General features: G+C 49.4%; 1 protein-coding gene across 16 annotated transcripts in view, besides 5 other annotated features; it reads left to right on the top strand.

The window, feature by feature from the left end:
• The window catches only part of SSBP3 (single stranded DNA binding protein 3), a 188,059-nt gene that overhangs the window by 49,234 nt on the left and 120,413 nt on the right, over nucleotides 1–18,412 (top strand). For 3 of the 16 annotated variants that reach the window (XM_047416695.1, XM_047416693.1, XM_047416692.1), the window contains exon 1: nucleotides 5,050–5,339. The exons of the other annotated variants lie outside the window; for them this stretch is intronic. The gene's annotated coding sequence lies outside the window, so the exon portion shown is untranslated. Of the gene's footprint in view, nucleotides 1–5,049; nucleotides 5,340–18,412 lie in introns of those variants that run through there. 16 annotated transcript variants of the gene reach the window in all.
• Nucleotides 6,950–7,099: an enhancer, noted in NCBI's record as "active region_1058". NCBI's record gives its function as "activates an Ori minimal core promoter by ATAC-STARR-seq in GM12878 lymphoblastoid cells {active_cell/tissue: GM12878}" and the evidence as "EXISTENCE:reporter gene assay evidence [ECO:0000049][PMID:35858748]".
• Nucleotides 7,290–7,479: an enhancer, noted in NCBI's record as "active region_1057". NCBI's record gives its function as "activates an Ori minimal core promoter by ATAC-STARR-seq in GM12878 lymphoblastoid cells {active_cell/tissue: GM12878}" and the evidence as "EXISTENCE:reporter gene assay evidence [ECO:0000049][PMID:35858748]".
• Nucleotides 8,500–9,177: an enhancer, noted in NCBI's record as "NANOG-H3K27ac-H3K4me1 hESC enhancer chr1:54820753-54821430 (GRCh37/hg19 assembly coordinates)". NCBI's record gives its function as "activates a minimal SCP1, AML or CMV promoter by ChIP-STARR-seq in naive H9 embryonic stem cells {active_cell/tissue: H9 hESC(naive)}" and the evidence as "EXISTENCE:reporter gene assay evidence [ECO:0000049][PMID:30033119]".
• Nucleotides 11,212–11,890: an enhancer, noted in NCBI's record as "H3K4me1 hESC enhancer chr1:54818040-54818718 (GRCh37/hg19 assembly coordinates)". NCBI's record gives its function as "activates a minimal SCP1, AML or CMV promoter by ChIP-STARR-seq in naive H9 embryonic stem cells {active_cell/tissue: H9 hESC(naive)}" and the evidence as "EXISTENCE:reporter gene assay evidence [ECO:0000049][PMID:30033119]".
• Nucleotides 13,285–13,832: an enhancer, noted in NCBI's record as "NANOG-H3K27ac hESC enhancer chr1:54816098-54816645 (GRCh37/hg19 assembly coordinates)". NCBI's record gives its function as "activates a minimal SCP1, AML or CMV promoter by ChIP-STARR-seq in naive H9 embryonic stem cells {active_cell/tissue: H9 hESC(naive)}" and the evidence as "EXISTENCE:reporter gene assay evidence [ECO:0000049][PMID:30033119]".

The following is an 18,412-nucleotide window of genomic DNA, read 5'->3' as shown; positions in this document are numbered from 1 at the left end:
AGGCTTTGTGGGTTGTGCAGTCTCTCTTGCAACTACTCAGCTCTGCCATTGTAGCATAGAAATCAGCCATAGACAGGACAGAAATGAATGGGTGTGGTTGTGTCCCAATAAAACTTTATTTACAAATACAGGTGGTATAAGTAAGGCCCTTGGGCCTTACTGGTTTGCCAACCTAAGCTCTAGAGTGTTCTCTTTGGCTGCCATGATGTCTTCTCATACACTAGGCTAGTCTGTAAAGGAAGAAGTTCTTCTTTGAATTAGGGACCAACACCTGAACCCTCCTGAGGCCTGGCCTTGCCATGAATCTGGTCTGCCCCCTTTGTTTCCCCTCTGGTTGCTGGGGAGGTGGCCTGTCCAGGCCTCTCTAGGGAGCCAGGTGTGCCTAGCTCTATGCAAATCACCCTGTTCCTGAAGAGTTGTAAGATTTGGTAAATCCTATTTTAAGTCCGATTAAGGAAAGTCTCTACCACAAAACAATATACCTTTCCCTATACATTTCTTCTGCAGTATACCTTTATGGTGGAAAGAAAATAAACAATGGTTGCTTTTTAAAATTTGGTTTTTTGTTTTGTTTTGTTTTTGGGGGACTTTTATTTTTACATTAAAAAAATGATGGTGCAGGGGGTGGTTTCAGGGGTAATAGTGTTGTTCTCCCTCCCATATAACTTATTTTTCAGTCTATTTCTTTGAGGGCCAGAGAAGATTGTGGTTGGTGTGAGAGTAAGGGGCGTAGAGTATAAATGAAGGGTAAATTTGTTGACTTGTCTAATTTATAACTGTCCGATGTGGCATCAGATTGCTGATTTGGTAGCATAGTCATCTGTCATAATTTTGAATTGTGCTAAATACTTTTGAATTGTGCTAAGTACTTTTTCTCCAGGTGAAGAAATACTCATGATTCACACCATTGCTGAGAGCTGTGTGGGTCTTCCCTTTTGAGATGGCTGGTAGGGAGAGGGTACCCTTGTCCCCATTTCCCAGATTGGTGAAACAAGGCACTGTGTGGTTAGGAGGTTTGCAGTTCTGGATTGAAAGTTCATGTGGCTGTGATGAGCAGTGTCTGTCATTTTCCCTTGGAAACTGAGATGTGACTCAGCAAACAGTATCCAGCTGTTCAGGGGCTGTGCTAGAGTGGGCTTCTTAATGCCTGGTGCCTTTCATCCCAGGAATGACCTCTAGACAGCATTCTATCCACACTGATGGAGGCTGGGAGGACTGCACCCTCTTTCCAAGACTCCCTGTGTAAATATGGAGTCTTAGTAAGACAACAGTGTCTAAGTATCCCTCTGCCCCGCCCCCCGTGAGACAGTTCATCTCCCAGGCCTCCATCCAGTCAGATTGCAACTCCTGGGCAGCACCCAGCTCTTATAAATGCCTGTCCTCGCCGTTATCTGGGAGAGAAAACGAGGGGTAAAACAACAACAACAGCCCACCACTGAAAGCAGGACTAATCCCCAGGGCAGTCTAGCGTGTGGCTCAGATGCTCAGACAAATGTTTAGACAGCTTAAGAAGGTAAACTAGAACTTACATGAATAAAACCATCTGCCTGGTCTAAGAAAAAGGTTAGATTTGGGGGCCTGCTATTTTCAGATGCTTTCAAGGCCGGGAGCTTATAGGGTGGGGGATATACCACTGAGTGTTCCTTCCTGGTCTAATATCTTGCGCCTATGTAGGGGCTGCCCGGAGGAGCCCAGGTCGGGTAGAGGCTTCCGCCTTCTGGGTCCTTACTCACCAAGTAGACTATCTGTGGCCATAAAGAGGATTTGACCTGGGTACCTCTGATCCCATTTGCTCACTAAGTCAGTCTTTCCACAAAGCAACCCCTGGGGGCCCTTCACTCTTTGCCAGGCCCTTTCTTGGGGAAGAGAGGATGGTTTGTGGAGAGAGAGACCCTGGGGACTGCTCTGTCTCAAAGGATGCTGGCTGATGCCACATATTGGGCATGTGGAGATTTGCTCTTAGTTGAGCAGCTGCTTGCTGCCAGGATGGTCCACTGCTGGCAGGGTTACTGAGCTCGCTCTTGGGAGCTCTGGGTCTAGCATGAGGAGATGAATGAATACTGAGAAAAGGGAGAGATCTTTCTTGCTGAGATGTTTGTGTGGGTGTGTTTATTTGTGGTCTCCTACGCTTGTCCTTACCATGATGGTAAAGATGGGCATGAAGATAATTAAGATGGCAGGCTGGGAATGAAAAGATACAAATTCTGAATTTTGCCTTAAACCACCCAAGAAATCTTTGCCAGGTCTTTAATACCTCTCCTTCCTGAACTTTTAAAATTACGCCTCCAGTCTCTTTCTGGGAGAGCTTTCTGTGGTTGCACCCTCTTTCAGTGAGGAAGGGAGAACTGAACCCATGGCGGAAGGACGATGACAACACCTCCCAGTCAGGGACAGTTAAAAATTAGGGCTTTTGCCATTAAATGAGAATCCACATTGACCAGTAGTATCATCGTGGTGGTGGGGAGGTTGAGTGTATCTGGCATGTCTGGAAAGGCCACTTGTCTTGATTTTGGTTGTCACATCTGTCTGCTGCTTGTAGATGCTCTGTTGATAGATACCACTGATGGTGGCCTTGCTTGTTCAGCTCGCTGCCGGGCTTTGGGGAGCGCAAGGGGATATCCCACGTTCTGCGAGAACAGGTTCCGCACCTCCTCTCTGAGGCCCCCTGCTCAGGACCAGAGTTATCCAAGAGGCTCTGTGAATTCCGTTCAGCCTGGGAGGGCCTTGCTCTATTGGGGGCAGTGTTTCTCTGCTTATCCCACACTCAGCGGGAGTGCGTGTGGGGTTCATCTGCAGCTTCGGAAGGGCTCTTTTCTTTTTAGGGTTGTTCGGTTTTCCACGTTTCCCCATTTCTGCTTTAAACCTCTATCTGTTTAATTTCCTGAGAAGGGAGCAAAAAACTCTAGATGAATTAGGTTTTATGAAAATTTACCTCTTTATAGTTAGCACAGGCCAGGTTACAGGATGTGAATTTTCATAAAACGTTATCTTGTGAACTGGTCTTGATTATCCTTTGTCCTGAATTAGCATCTCCCTTCTAGGGTAGAAGTAATTGTAAGGTTTAGAGCTGGAAATGAAGTAGGTCCCTCTGTGAGTGAGGGATTGTGGAGGCTCACTCTCTATGCAAACTGCTTTTACATGCATTATCTTAGTTAGTTCTTTTTTTTGAGACAGGGTCTCATTTTGTTTCCCAGGCTGGAATGCAGTGGTACAGTCATAGCTCACTGCAGCCTCAACCTCCTGGGCTCAAGCAGTCCTCCCACCTCAGCCTCCAACGTAGCTGGGACTACAGGCATGTACCCCTTGCCACATCTGGCAGATTTTTTTTTTTTTTTTTTAAGTAGAGACAAGGTCTTACTATGTTGTCCAGGCTGGTCTCAAACTCCCGGCCTCAAGTGGTCCTCCTGCCTCAGCCTCCCAAAATGTTGGGATTACAGGAGTGAGCCACTGTGCCTGGCCACATGTATTATCTTACAATCCAGGCTATGACCTGGGGCATGGTCCCCCATTTTGCAGGTGAGGAAATTGAGACTCGAGGAGGTTCAGTAACTTCCCCAAGTTCATGTGTCCTAAGCAAAGCTGTTACCTAAACATTTTGGGCTTTAAATTTGGGTTCTTTTTTTTATGGCACCACACTGCCTCCTAGTTTCTTTGGTGGAAACACTTGGGGGGACCCATGCAGGCTTTCTGTGATCAAAGCCATTCCCAGGCCAGTTTACCTGGGTCACAGGCTTTCAGATACATTAGAACTGGCTGGGGACCCCTGAGCCCCTTCCAGCGCTGTTATTCTGTAGTTGAGAAGAGATGTTTTAGAGAGTGAAGTGATTGCCAAGATTGGACAGAGAATTTGTTTGCTAATTCTTTTAGGTATTTGTTGAGTGCCTATCGTGTGCCAGTATTAGAACACATGATAAAGCAATGAACAAAAGACAAACATTCTGATCTTCGGGGAGCTCAAGTGGAGGTTTCCATATTTCTGTGCTCTAACTTTCCTCTTCCTCCCTAAGCTTCTAGACAGCTCTTTTGTCCCTCTGTGGACTCAGGGAATGCAAAGTAATTTTAGTATAATGTTTTTTGGGTTGAACTGAAGGAGATAGGTGAATCAGCAGAGGAAGAGAAGTTATGTAATTGATTCCAAAACCGAGAGAAAAGATACTTGGTTGGCTTATTTGTTTTTAATATGTATTCTTTTTATTTCTTTGAGCACATGGTATATGTCAGGTACTGTTCTAGGTCCTAAGAATTTTGCAAGTGAACAAGACTCTGAAGGTGTTGGCGGTTGAGTCACACACCCAGTAGTGGTGGGAGGTCATGGTTTGACTCCTTGGTGATTATCAACCCATGATCTGAACATTTCTTCAAGGTAGGTGAGTGTTAACTGGTCACGGTGGTCCCCATTTATCCTCAGCCTGTCAGGCCAGTGGTGTTGCTGTGGGGTACCAAGATGGCATCGCACCCTCCTGAAATGATGAATGCTCACCTGCTCCATTTCTGCTCTCTGAAACGTATTTTCTGATTCTTTGCTCCACGGAAGTGCCCTAAACATTGGAGTTTTTACATAACAGCTTTTCTTACTTATCCAGCATTTCTGTCACCACCTGCAGCTTTTGCCACAAAAACACAGTGACCTCTACAGCCGGGAAGAAGAGTAGGTGGAGTCTGGCCAAGGATGCCAGGGAAACCTTATGTTTATAAAAAGCTCTCTGTAGGTCAGTGAGGGCATGCAAAACCTTTCCATGTCCTCTGTAGGAATCCTAGGTGCTTTTTTAAAGGAAAGACTGTTTTAAAGCGTGAAGGGCTTTGAGTTATTTTCCCATTAGCATTTTATCAGTCGATAACCTCTAAAATCCCTTCTGACTATGAGAGTCTCCCTGGCCCTGGTTTCTTCTGCAGCCTCTGCTTTACCTTCAGTGATGGGGAACTCACTACCAGACAGGGTAGCCCATTTCTGTTTTAGACAGAGCAGCTATAATCTGTGTTCCAGGTATTACCATCACCAACTGGGAAGACTTCTTCCTATGACAGCTTTTTTTTTTTTTTTTTTTTTTGAGGGGAGGGTAATTATAGCAACTCATATATGTCTCTGTTCTTCCCATAAAACTCTCCCCACCTCCACCAGTGGGTTTACGTTTAAAATAGCCTCTGTTCTGTTTTGGAAGGCATCTCCCTGGCTTCTGGTTTGCCAATGTTCTTCTGATAATGTGACTTCCACAACTGACCTCCAACCCCCACTTTTTGGCCTGGCCCCTTTGAAGCGCCTGGAGTTGGCAGAGGGAGAAGTGTGGCGGGTGGAAGACGCTCTTGAGTCAGGAGCTGGCGGTGATCCGCTTTGCTCTGTGGTAGGTATTAACTGCGTTCCCAGGCCTGTTTCCTGCTCCCAAATGCCAACATCCCTGCCTCTTAAGTGAGGTTTAGCTTAATCCCCAACCTTACCTAAATGTTATTTCTTTGATTATTCAGAGCTGTGGGCGGAATTTCCCTGTGTCGTTGAGAGCGTAGGTGGGGACACACTGCTGGGATGCCCTCCCCACTTGCAATCCTCTCTTGCATCCATCGTCCCCACAGCGCTGTCCAGCTAGGATGGTACTGGTCTCCCAGTGTTGTTCGTTCGGATGTCTTCAGAGGTCAGACTGGGCATCCTCCTCACTTTACCAGCAGGGGATACTGAGGCCCAGGGGATGGAGGTTATGCCATCTCCCCTTCTCCTGTCAAGCAGCTGGAAGCCCTGGAGCAAGGTGTGAGCTGCAACCCTGGAGAAATGGTCTGTAGTTTAGCAGTTGTGGAGTTGCTCACGAAGCTTCCAGTTGGTCATCCAGTCAGCCGGCACTGGGATTTGCACAGAAGCCCTGAGACTCTGCCCTTGCCCTCCTGGCCTCCTGAGCTGGGTGGGCTGGTTCAGCTTCAGGGGAACACCTGATAAGCCCCCAAGAGTCCACCGTATCTAAATACTGAGGGTCTGTTGCACACAAGGTAGAAATGGAGCCCGGTCAGAGTATGGCATTGAGTTGCCAGTTAAGAGGTACTCCTTGAGGTTAGGCAGGCGTGTTAGTCTTCATTTTGTATGTGCAGTGCCTGGCACATAGTTAAGTGCCCAATGAAGATAAGCTTGGTGGCAGCCTGCCCATCTGGTGGGTTAAAATGGAAAAAGCTCCTTCCTTTTTAGCTCGAAAATGTTCTTAGAGCTCCTGTCCTGTCCCAGATGCTGCAGAGGGCTATTGAGGTGCTGTCTCAGCCCTGCCCACGAGTGGATTAAGGAAGGAGACCCTTCTGTAAGAACACTGCACCCTCATGCCTGGATGGTATAGTGTAGGTGTGGAAGTGCTGTTTGTCCATCTTCCTTTACTTTGGAGAGTCCACCTTTGATGGGTCCTCTGGAACCTGATGACTGCTGTGCATGTGGAAAGACTGGGAGGCAGGTGAACATGCTAGCAAAAATCATCCCTGCTCCCTGGGTGCCAGGCCATTTGTGGTGTGTCTTATTACTTGGCAAAGAAGACATTAGGACTTCATTTATTTTGTGAGAGAAAAGGTCTTGCTATGTTAACCAGGCTGGCCTGGAACTCCTGGGCTCAAGTGATCCTCTGGCCTCAGCCTCCTGAATAGCTGGGACTACAGGTGTGCACTGCTGTGCGCAGCTTAGGACATTAGGACTTTAATTCACTGGACTGGATTTCACCCCATGGGTCCCCTGTGGATGGGGGAGAGGTGGAGGTGGTGGGGCTGGCTGGGGAGCAGGAGGATGAGGTGGCAAGGATGTGCAGGGTTGAATTTTCTCTCTTTTCTTCACAAATAGTGCTAGCACCCTTATGGTACACCCTACCCCCAGCCCCCAAAAAACTTACTGAAGCACTGCCCACCCCCACATTGACCTACCTTCCTTCTCCTGCCTGCCTGACTTTGTAAGTGAGCCCCTAGCTTTTTGTCAGGAGTGGGGGTGTGGATCTGTGTGTAGCAGGGTGGCCTCATTTGTCGAGTGCCCACCCTGGGCCACTGTGTTAGGCAGTCACGATTGCTGCAAAGCCTTTAATTAGCGTCCCAGGTTGCCTGGCTGCCTTCCTCACTCGCACTGCCTTTTTCCTTTTCTCCCTTCCCCTCCTAGCCCCTTTGGCCTTCTGTCTCCTCTCACTGGGGACTCAGACCTCTCTTCCTGTCTTCCCTCCCTCCCTTCCTAGGGGCCTTTCCTTGATTCTCTGGGGAAACCAGATAGGCCTCTGTTACCCCTGTGAGCCCTGTTCCCTCCACCCAGAAGATGTGGAGTGAGGTGAGGGGCTCTACCCCCAGCGGTGAGACTGTGTCAGGCCTTTCTCTGCGTCTGTGTGATTTTATGAAGTCTGTCTTGTCAAAACCAAGAGGCTGAGGAAAGTCCCTACATTTATTCTTTGAAGATCTCTTGAACGCTGGTTGCTGAGCACAAAGCAGGTGGGGCGGGTGGAGGAAGACTTCCTGAAATGGAGAGAAGGCGAGTGGACACCCGATGACTTGTAGATATGTGGGTAGAATGCTGGAGGGAGAAGCGGCTCCTGGGGCACCCGTGCTTGGCCCCCTTTGGATGTCGGCTCCCTTTGCAGCTCCTAAGCTCTGTGTTTGGGGTGGGAGCGGCTGCGAGGCGGTGGGGGGCTTGTTTGGCAGACGGCGCCCATCAGACAACTGGAAAGTGCCAGTGCCTGCGTGGCCATCTGTCCCCGCCGCCTAGCTCCCGGCCGCCTTCTGCTTCCCACAGAAGGGCCCGCGCTGTTCTGTAGCACAAGGGCACGGGGCCTGGCCGGGAGGGGCAGGCACAGTTCCATTTTGCCATTGTTTATTCCCATCTCCTTTGCAGCTCCTGCGCTTGGGAGTTGCCAGGTGCGTGAAAAGTTTGCTGCGCCGTGGCCGATCAGGTTGTTTGGTGGGGCGCTGGCGGGAAGGAAAGGTGGAAGTGTGCGGCGTTTCCTTTGCACCGTGTCTGTTTGTTCAACTGTGGACTTTCACCCCTCCCCCTGGCTGCTGGTTTTCTTTTTTCTTGCTTTAATTTGTAAAAACGCACCTAGAGCAGGCCAGCTCCCCGGGATTTGGGCTCATCTGCACGCTACCCTCTCCGAGCTAGTTAAAGGGTTAAAAATTATGGGGAAGTTCAGCCGGCACTTGCAAGATATGGTTGCCGTAGCAACAGGCCTTCTAATCTGGTAGGTGACCTGAGAGACTGGAGAAGATGTAGGGGTTGGTTTGGCATTTCATTATTTCATGAGGCTGCCTCTCCAGCTGGTTTCTCTGCTGAGCTTAAAGCTTGCTGTTCCTGCCACTAGAATTACTGGCACATTCCAAAACAACAGTGTTGATGGCACGAGCACTGCGTTAATGGGGTCTGGCCAGGCAGGGTGGGCGGAGGAGAGGGAGCTGGGTTCCAGGAGCCCTCACGTGGGATCGTGTCCCCTCGCACAAAGCGGGAGGTGTGGATAGAGGGATGTACGCAGGGGTTTGCCCTCCTGCATACAATAGCCGCCTTCTTGAAACACCACCTCACGTAAAGAGGGACTGGCTTTTTAGGAGGACTTTAAGATAACTCCTTTAGTTTTCCAAGAAGCCTCCTTAAATTTGGGAGGCAGGGGAGCTCTCTGAATTTGGGGGAGAGGCTGGACGCGGTGGCTCAACACCTGTAATCCCAGCACTTCGGGAGGCTGAGCCGGGTGGATCACTTGAGGCCAGGAGTTCCAGACCAGCCTGGCCAACATGGTGAAACCCTGTTTCTACTAAAAATACAAAAATTAGTCACGCATGGTGGCACGTGCCTGTACTCCCAGCTACTTGGGAAGTTGAGGCGGGAGAATCGCTTGAACCAGAAGGCAGAGGTTACAGTGAGCCAAGATTGTGCCACTGTACTCCAGCCTGGGCGACAGAGTGAGACCCTGTCTCAAAAAATAAATAAGTAAAATAAATTTGGGGGAGATCTCCCTGTAATGTCTGTGGTTGGTGCCCTCCTCTTGTATTTATCTCCAGATAGATATTGTCCAGAAATTCGGCTTAGTTGAGCACAGTAGCCTCATGTCTGCTGTGTGCCCAGCACAGAGAGGAACAGGACAGAGAGTGCCTGGTCTCATTCATTCTCTCATCAGACGTTTGTTGGACGCCGCATGTGGCAGGCATTGCAGAGAAGGGGCAGGTCACACCGTTGTCCTGGCCTGAGAGCCTCCCATTGTGTGAGGGACCTTCAAAGCAAGAGCAGGAGAGGAGGAGGAAACAACCCAGCCTCACCCTCCCCTTCCTTTTAGAGGGACCTTGTGTCGAGGGCAGTAAGCAGTCTTCTGGCCTTGGAAAGGCATGAGGCATTCATGATTTTTCATTCACCTTTCTCTTTTCTACCCCTTTGCTCTTGGCTGTAATTACTGGGAAGTCCACAGGCTGGGTAGATGGCATGTACAGATGATGTGTTCTGAAGTCCACTCCTCCCTAAGGCACCGTGTCTTAACACAGAGTTGTGTGTTACATTAGGCCCAGGTTCACAGGGATCTCCGATTGGTTGGCTTCCTGGGTTTCTTGTTTTTTGAATTTCTTTCCCCTGGAGAGGTTAGTGTTCCTGGGATTTGTGAGGGAGCGGGGAGTGGGCTGGAGAGGAGCTTAGAGTACTTACTGGGACTTCAGGTGGCTCACTCCCCCTCCCCATCTCGGTTGTAAGCTCCTGGGGGAGAGGTCTGTGTGTTAGAGGCCCAGCAGGTCTTTGTGGAAGTTCCTTGCTCCCACGTTAGATGTGAACGCCGAGAACCACATGACAAGAGTGGTAGTGTGTACCCTCCTGGGGCTCTAGGATCCAGCAGGGCCACCTCCCCACTTCACCCACTGCCTCGTGTCTCTCCTGTAGTTCTCGGGTTTGCCGTTCAGTGGGGTGACCCTCAGAGTCCATTGAGGGTCCCAGCATTGGCTTATGTTTTGTGGGATTGGGTGGAAAGACTTGCCTCACTGTACCGTGTCATTGCTGGTCTGTCCACCTGCCCTGCATGTGGCAGGTGCCTGGGAAAGGCTGGCATGTGGTTTTGATGGGTAGGAGTTTGAGGGGCTGGGAGGTGCACTGATGCTGCAGAAAGCAGAGCAGACAGGCAGCCTTGTAAGGCTGTAGAGTCTGCAGACAGTGGTATGCGCTGGCTCCAGGCTTTCTAGATAAGATCAGGTTGCAGATAGTGAAATGGGAGTCCCATCTTTTGTTGGGCATCCTGGTGCAGCATTGGGATGTAGGAGTGCTCTTGCTGAGCCGGGGGAGTGGTCAGTCACTGACAGCCCTGGATCTGGGTCCAGTTCGGTTTCTAGTCCCTGTATGATTTGGGGAGTCAGTCCCCTCTGTGCTGCAGTCTCCTCCTCATCTGTAGAATGAAGGTGCTGACCTGATCATCTGCAGTCCCTCTCAGTCCCTCAGCCCATGTCTGGATGGAAAGAGAGATCTCAGCAGAGTCTATGCATTGCTGGACCTCAGACTGGTTTCTTGGTATAGAAGGTGGCTTTAGGGTTTATCTGGCTTGTGTGAATTTTGCCCCATTCAGTGTAGTTCCACAGGGTTTGCTGAATGCCACTCCCCTTGCCCTGGGCTGCAGCATGAGTAGGATGGGGCAGGCCAGCCCTCGAGAGCAGCCTCTGACCCTGCCTGTTTTTCTCTGACTTCCATGGAGCATGTGAGAGGGTGGCCAGAATTGGGATCTGACAATGCACCTGGGTCACCTGGATACTTGAAAACACTCCCATTCCCCTTCTGGGAGAAATCTTGACTTGGTGGGGCCAGCATAGAGGGTGCACAGGGTTTTTCAGAGTGGATACATCTCAGAGGAGCAAAGGGAAAAATCTTTAAGGCTGAAGCTTCTGAGGATGGCCTGGCCACATGTGTGTAAGTCACAGGGCAGGAGCGGGGGTGTTGAGCTGAAGATTTTCTGGAACCTGTAGGATCTGAAAGTAGAGGTGATCTTCCAGTTTACCCTTTCAGCTTGGATTTTGGCCTGCAGTTTTTCCCCTCGCAATGGGCCTGATTTCGACGGAAAGAATGGGTCTGCCCTATTCCAATTAGAGTGTCAGGGCCTTGTTAGATGCAAAATAAATAAAACAAACTTGTGTATCCAGCTCTAAAACTGGCTGGGGCCCTCTGAGAGTTGTCCTCCCTGTGGCAGGGGTGTGTGGGGACCTGTCCAGGGAGCGCCTGCAGCTGGAGCCCCCGTGCAGGCGAGGAAACCAAGGGGATGGCATGACGGTCTGAGGACACGGCGCTGTCCGGTCGGGCCGCCTCCCCGCGTCACCTACTGCCTCCTGTCTCTCCTGCAGTTCTCGGGTTTGCCATTCAGAATCCGTTGAGGGGCCCGGCGTCGGCTCACATTTTTTGGGACTGGGTGGCTTTTGTGCTCTGTTGAGAGGGATCTGGCTTGAGCCCCATGGATTGTGTTGAGGTTCCTCTGTCATTAGTCATCCTGTTTTAGAGTGGGAAAAACATGACAGTTTACTCTCAGATTGAAGTTTCCGAGCAGTTGATTGAGATGGGAGTTCTGAGGTTTTGTGTTGTCTGCACGTTTCTGTTAGCATTGATGATGGCAGTGAGCACAGTGCTGATCACGCTAGATGCTCGCATGGTCAAACGGCAAGACGCAGCTTCTTCCTGCTGCACATCCTGCAAGGTGAGGCTCATGAGATGACGGCCATCCCGCCCTCCCCTTGCCTTGTTCCATTAACATTACTATAGTAAGACCCCATATGGATGACTTTCTCTTCTGGAGGCTGGGAGGTGAAGGCAGGGGAGGAAGGGGTTTGAAGCTGAGATGAAGCCTCATAGGAAGTGGGATGACCCAGTGGGGACCGTTTCTGACAGAAGGTTCCTCAGGGGTGTTTTATGGAGAAGTCACTTGAAGAAGCCACCTTACCAGTCAGCCAAGAAGTTTGGATCCATTTGGCCTCTCTGGAGATTGCCACTTAGTAGGATAACAAGGTAATTCCCTGCTAGGTGAAGTAGGACTTGAATCAGTTCTATCAAGCTTCCTAAGGCACCTTGTGCTGCTTCCGAAGTTTTAGGCTTTTGGTCCTTTTATGTACCCTGAGCCGTGTCTAGCCCAAGGCTCTTCAGACTGAGGGGACTGTTTTTTTTGGGGGGCGGGGGTGGGGTTTGGTTGTTGTTGTTGTTTGTTTTGTAGAGATAGGGTCTCACTATATTGCCCAGTTAGGTCTTAAACTCCTGGCTTCAAGGGATCCTCCTGCCTCGACCTCCCAAGTAGCTGGGACTACAGGCATGCGCCACCAGGCCTGGCCAAGATCGGGGGTCTTCATGTGTTTTGCCTTCCATGCTGTGGAAGCCTGTTGGTTTGCTGGAGTTCACACTGCTCTTTAGCTCACCAGGAGCTCCTTCTGGAGAATAAACATACAGATGTTTGGATGGGTGGGTGGATGGATAGATAGGCAGCGTGCTGAGCTGGGCCAGATCGAGTCAGGAGTCCTTCCCAGATGGCACTGGGGATGTTTCTACAGCTGGTGTACAGGCAGCAAGCCGGTCCCAAAACAGGGGCTCCCATAAAGGCCCAGCGAGGTCACTCCGTGGGAGTAATCTGCTAGAGGTTCATCCCTGCTAGCTTGGCCTGTTGAGGAACCCTGTCTTAGGTGAATATCCCACACGCCAGAGGAACATGAAAAGATGAAGGAAGATTGTTGTTAAAGTTTCATTTATATTTAGATTATCATAACATTACTCTTGAGATCTGTGACTTTTAGCATTTGTGGCCTCAACAATTCATAAGTGACTGGAGTCATTTATAACCTTCCTGAGCATAACTTGAATTTTGGCCCAGGAGGTAGGTGGGCCCGTGAGTCACTGATATGGTGGGTCAGCCTTTCTGGCACCCCCGGCTCTTCAGGCTCTGCCTGTTTCATACATAATCTAATTTCATCCTTCCGGTAACCTTGGGAATGGGGTATAATTGCTGCCATTTTATACCTGAGAGAACAGAAGAAGTTATGTGTTCTGTACTCGTTCATTTTGAAAAGTAGGAGGAAGGAAGAAAAGAAAGTCACCCACCACCAGGACTAACTTTGTGCTAACTTTTCGAGTATTTCTTTTCAGGCTGTTTTCCTACTTTTACTTTACTTTTTTCACATCATCTTCTTCTGGTCAGAAAATTCTCATTATAAAAAATAGCATTTAAGGCTGGGCACGGTGGCTCACACTTGTTATGCCAGCACTTTGGGAGGCCGAGGTGGGCAGATTGCTTGAGCTAGGAGTTCGAGACCAGCCTGGGCAACATAGCGAGACCCCCATCTCTACAAAAAATACAAAAAGATTAGCTGGGCTTGGCGGCACGTGCCTGTAGTCTCACCTACTCAGGAGGCTGAGGTTGGAGGATTGCTGAGTCCAGGAGGTTGAGGCTATGATTGCACCACTGCACTCCAGCATTGGTGACAGAATGAGACCCTGTCTCAAAAAAAAAAGCATCTGAGAAGCTGTGCGGGTTCTATTTCTGTGTCCAGACTCTTGAGTTTATTTACACGTTGATATGATTTTTGGATGGTCATGGTGTGGGTTCTCCTGCCTGTCCCTGGGCTGCTGCTGCCCCCAGGGCAAGAATGGTTTATTCAGCTCAGCTTCCCAGGCTGAGACATTCAGACCCAAGCAAGGCCTTTGTGTCTAAAGTAGTAGTTGATTGGAGTGCTAATGAATCAATTAGAAAATTACTTGCTGCTGAGCTCCTCAGCCAAACCCGGGTTGTGCACATGTCTTAGAAAACCATCTGAAGGCCATACGCGTATAAATCTCTCTTGGCTGTGGCCCTCGTAAATCTCACCACAGCCTTTCTTGGACCTGTTAATCACTTGAGAAAAACAGGACTACTTCTGCTTTGCAGGGCTGCCTTGTGCTTGGCACAGTTTTCTAGCTTGTACCTCTTCCACGGATGAGAAAGGAGACTAGAGTTCCTAGTAACAGCGCTTGTTCCGCACTTTCAAAAAGAAGCATTCAGGGGCTGCTCTTGTGTTTTGTCTCTACAGCAACCCTGTTGGGAGGCACTATTATTATTTTGCCCATTTTTATGGATGGCACAGTTGGGGCTCAGAAAGTGTAAGCAACCTGTTCTCAGGTCACCACCTAAAAGGAAGCAGCGGTGAAGGCTTCAGCTTCCCAGATCTTCACACTGTCACTCTGCTGAGATGCCTTTTCACGTGGATGCTCCTACTTAATATATCTTGGTGGGTTTTCATAGTCCCAGGTTGGCGTGGCAGGTGAGGCACAGCCAATAGAGGTGGAAATGGTAGAGGCATTTCTGGTTAAGTACCCAGGGTTGGGGTTTAGAGCGGTTTAATTTGGGGCAGAAGGGTTCAAATGACAGCCAACAGCAGAGGCTAAAGGGACCCCAGGTGGGAGATGTACCAGGGGCTCCAGATTGCCAGCAATTTGTGTTATGTATTCCAGGACACTCGCCAGGTAAGGTTGAACCTAAAATGGAAATGAGGAGAGGAGAGGAAAGTTAAAAGATGAAATGGCTATGAATCCCAGCTGAAGCGGGAGGCATTTCTTGAAAAAGATATCTGTAAAATAATGATTTTGATTTTTTTTTTTTTTGGCCCATCCACACTGTTTCCTCATTGGATACCCACCTCTTGTGACCCCCAGCCATCATTTCATGAGCGAAACTAAGGTGGCATGGCTAAACCCTTACCTGCTTCCTGTAAAAGCCAACATGCCTTTTCAAGGCTGAAGCCTGAGGGAGCTCTGTGCTGGTCTCCTCTTTGATTTTGGCTTCATTTGGGGGGAACCAGTAGCCTTTTGTTCCCAGGATATGGGCCAAGGCTGCTTGTTTCATAACTTCATAGTATGCTCTTCTGTCCCCAAGATGGTCAGTGTATCATGCAGTTTTGATATTTCTGCATCTAACCTTAAGGGCATTGGATGCCCGGCAGTTGTTTTGCTCACATAACAAACAAACATTTGGGTGCCTACTGTGTGCCAGGCACCGCTGTAGGTGCTGGGAATGCCGCAGGGAACAGCAGAGGAATATCCCTGCCTACCTTGTGGAGCTGACATGCTGGTGGATGGTACAGAGACCTGGTTGGGTCTCAAGCTCTGGGTTGGAAGATATGACCCTAATAATTCTAATCTCTCCTCCATAGTGGCTCTTTTTGATGTGCCCAACATTATGCTGGGTGTTTTATATTTGTTAATCATGTTCCATCCTCAGAAGAGCTTTGTTCAGACAGGTAATTGTCATCTTATCTTTGCAGACGAGGCTGCTGAGAACACATAATGGGTAGGTGCTTACCTGTTTCTTGTCGAATGGGTGAAGAGCAGCAGCTTGCTGGTCATCGGGCTGGGTTTTTAGCCTGGTTCTGGCTCTCAACAAGACACTAGGCTACCTCTCCCAGGCTTTACCGGCCTAATTTTGTGACTTGCCTTGAGTGTAGGTGAGTGCCAGAGCAAGGAGAGGAGGTGAGATTTAGAGGCCACTCACTTCCGCAGCCCTGTGAACTCACTTCCAAGGCCTTGGCCTTGCTCTTCCAGGCACATTGGTGCCTCCATCTGAGCTGTATCTATGGTGGGGAAGTGAGTGGGATGCATCTGCCCCGCTGCCCCATGACCACAGACCCTAAGCTGGCACAGGTGAGGCAGCGTGTAGAACCTTGCACCACATCTATCTGCCCAGCCATCTCCTTGGCCTTCCAGTATTGACTTGGCCCCAGCAAGTCCCCGGTATTGGAAATCCAAAACAAATAAAGCCCAACCCCTGGACGGAAGTGGGCTGGTATTCTCACTGTGGGAGCTTGAAGTGCGGCAGCTGTGTGGGTAGCCAGTGCTCTGGGTGTCACCTGTTTGGCAGGCTGTTGGAGGCTGTCCCAGGCAGACCTCAGGTGTGTGAGGGAGAAAGTTAGAAGCATGTGACTGGCTGAGGGGGCAAGGCAGGAGGATGTCTACTTCCTGTTGTTGCTTGTGTGTCCTCTTGACCCGCAGGCTCCTTTTTGAACCTTTTCCTTTTTCTCTTTCTTTCTGCCCACTCTCTGCTAATTTCCACCTGTCCTCACCCGCCCCCCCCCCCCCGCCCCCCATGCCTTCTATTTCCCAAACCTTGTGGGTTACCTCAGACTTTCCTTGGCGGTTCTCAGTTGGCGGACTGAGGGGCAGAGTCCGCCACCCGATAAAGATGACTTTGTGTCTCTGTCCCCAGATGGATATGGGGACTCTGACCTCTCCGGATGGTGTTTGCAGAAGGTCGTGGTTGGTTGCACGGAGTCATATAATCCTGAAGTGGCAACAGTGCACACAGTGAGGAAAGGGGTGGGTGATTGGGTGGCTGAGAGTGTTGAGAGCCTTGGAGTGAATGATTTCCAGACCTGTTAGTTTTCTAGACGCAGTAACAAAGTACCACAAACTAGGTGGCTTTAAACAACAGAAACTTAGTCTCAATGTTCTGGAGGCTGAAAGTTCACGAGGAAGGTGCCCGCAGGGCCATGCCCTCTGAAGGTTCTAGAGGAGCATCTGCCCATGCCTTTCTCTTATCTTCCAGCGTTGCTGCAATCCTTGGCATTCCTTGGCCCCTAGGACTCCAATCTCTGCCTCTGCCATCACATGGCACCTCCCTGTGCATCTCATTTTATATTCCCCTCATTTCATATGGATACCAGTCATTGCATCAGGACCCACCCTAATCCAATATCACCTCATTTTTGCTAAGTGATACTTGCAAAAGGATGTAGAATCGGCCTTCCACATCTGCAGGTTCAGCCAGCATTTGCGGATTCAGTAATCAAAAATATTCAGGGGAAACAAACCAACAAAAAGAATACAGGCCTGGTGTAGTGACTAATGCCTGTAATCCCAGCACTGTGGGAGGCTAAGGTGGGAGGATTGTTTGAGGCTAGTAGTTCAAGACCAGCCTGGGCAATATAGCAAGACCCCATCTTTTTTTTTTTTTTTTAAAAAGGGGACAAATTAAAAAACAGCCTAACAACTATTTACCTAGTATTTATATTGTATTAGATATTATAAGTAACCCAGAGATGATTTAAAGTATATAGGAGGGCTGGGCACGGTGGCTCACACCTCTAACCCCAGTACTTTGGGAGGCCAAGGTGGGAGGGTTGCTTGAAGTCAGGAATTCAAGACTGGCTTGGTTAACATAGTGAGACCCCATCTCTATGTAAAAATTAAATAAATAAATTAGCTGGGTGTGGTGGTGTATGCCTGCAGTCCCAGTTACTTGGGAGGCTGAGGCAGGAGGATTGCTTGATCCCAGGAGTCCAAGGATGCAGTGAGCTGTGATCACTCCACTGCACTCCAGCCTGGTGCAGTGTCTGAAAAAAATTTTAAAATGTATATGGGAGGATGTGTGTGCACTCTGCCATTTTATGTAAAGGACTCAAGCATCCGAGGATTTTGGTATCTGTGAGGTGGGGTTGGGGAGTAAGGGCCTGGACCCAATCCCCCAAGGCTGCCATAGGAGACTGTATTTCTATTTTTTTTTTTTTTTCCTTGAGATGGAGTCTCACTCTATTGCCCAGGCTAGAGTGCAGTGGTGCAATCTCGGCTCACTGCAAGCTCCGCCTCCCGGGTTCACGCCATTCTCCTGCCTCAGCCTCCCAAGTAGCTGGGACTACAGGTGCCCACGACCATGCCCGGCCAATTTTTTTGTATTTTTAGTAGAGATGGGGTTTCACCGTGTCAGTCAGGATGGTCTCGATCTCCTGACCTCGTGATCCACCCGCCTTGGCCTCCCAAAGTGTTGGGATTACAGGTGTGAGCCACCGCGCCTAGCCAGGAGACTGTATTTCTAAATAAGAGCCCATTCACAGGTACTGGGGGTAGGAGTTGAGCATATCTTTTGGAGGTACACAATTCAACCCCCAGCATAGGGTGACAGTGCCAGGCCCCAAATCAAAATTCAAATTCCTGTTACAAGGGGACCTAAAGATCTTAATCTACTCTGTAACTTTAGTCAGTACAGTAATTTTTTTTTTTTTTTTGGAGATGGAGTCTAGCTGTGTCACCCAGGCTGGAGTGCAGTGGCCCGATCTAGGCTCACTGCAACTTCTGCCTCCCAGGTTCAAGCAATTCTCCTGCCTTAGCCTCCTGAGTAGATGGTACTACAAGCACATGGTGCCGCGCCTGGCTAATTTTTTTTTTTTTTGAGATGAAGTCTTACTCTGTCACACGGCTGGAGTGCAATGGCACGATCTCAGCTCACTGCAACCTCTGCCTCTTGAGTTCAAGCGATTCTCCTGTCTCAGCCTCCTGAGTAGATGGGAGTACAGGCGTGTGCTGCCACACTTGGCTAATTGTTTTTGTTTTGTTTTTTTTTTTTTGTATTTTTGTGGAGACGGGGTTTCACCATGTTGGCCAGGCTGGTCTCGAACTCCTGACCTCAAGTGATCCACCCGCGTCGGCCTCCCAAAGTGCTGGAATTACAGGCGTGAGCCACCGTGCCCAGCCTAATTTTTTGTATTT

The sequence above is a fragment of the Homo sapiens genome, chromosome 1 (genome assembly GCF_000001405.40).
Source record: "Homo sapiens chromosome 1, GRCh38.p14 Primary Assembly".
Taxonomy (NCBI): domain Eukaryota; kingdom Metazoa; phylum Chordata; class Mammalia; order Primates; family Hominidae; genus Homo; species Homo sapiens.
Note: the sequence above shows the minus strand (reverse complement) of the source record. Positions and strands in the feature narration are given on the sequence as shown.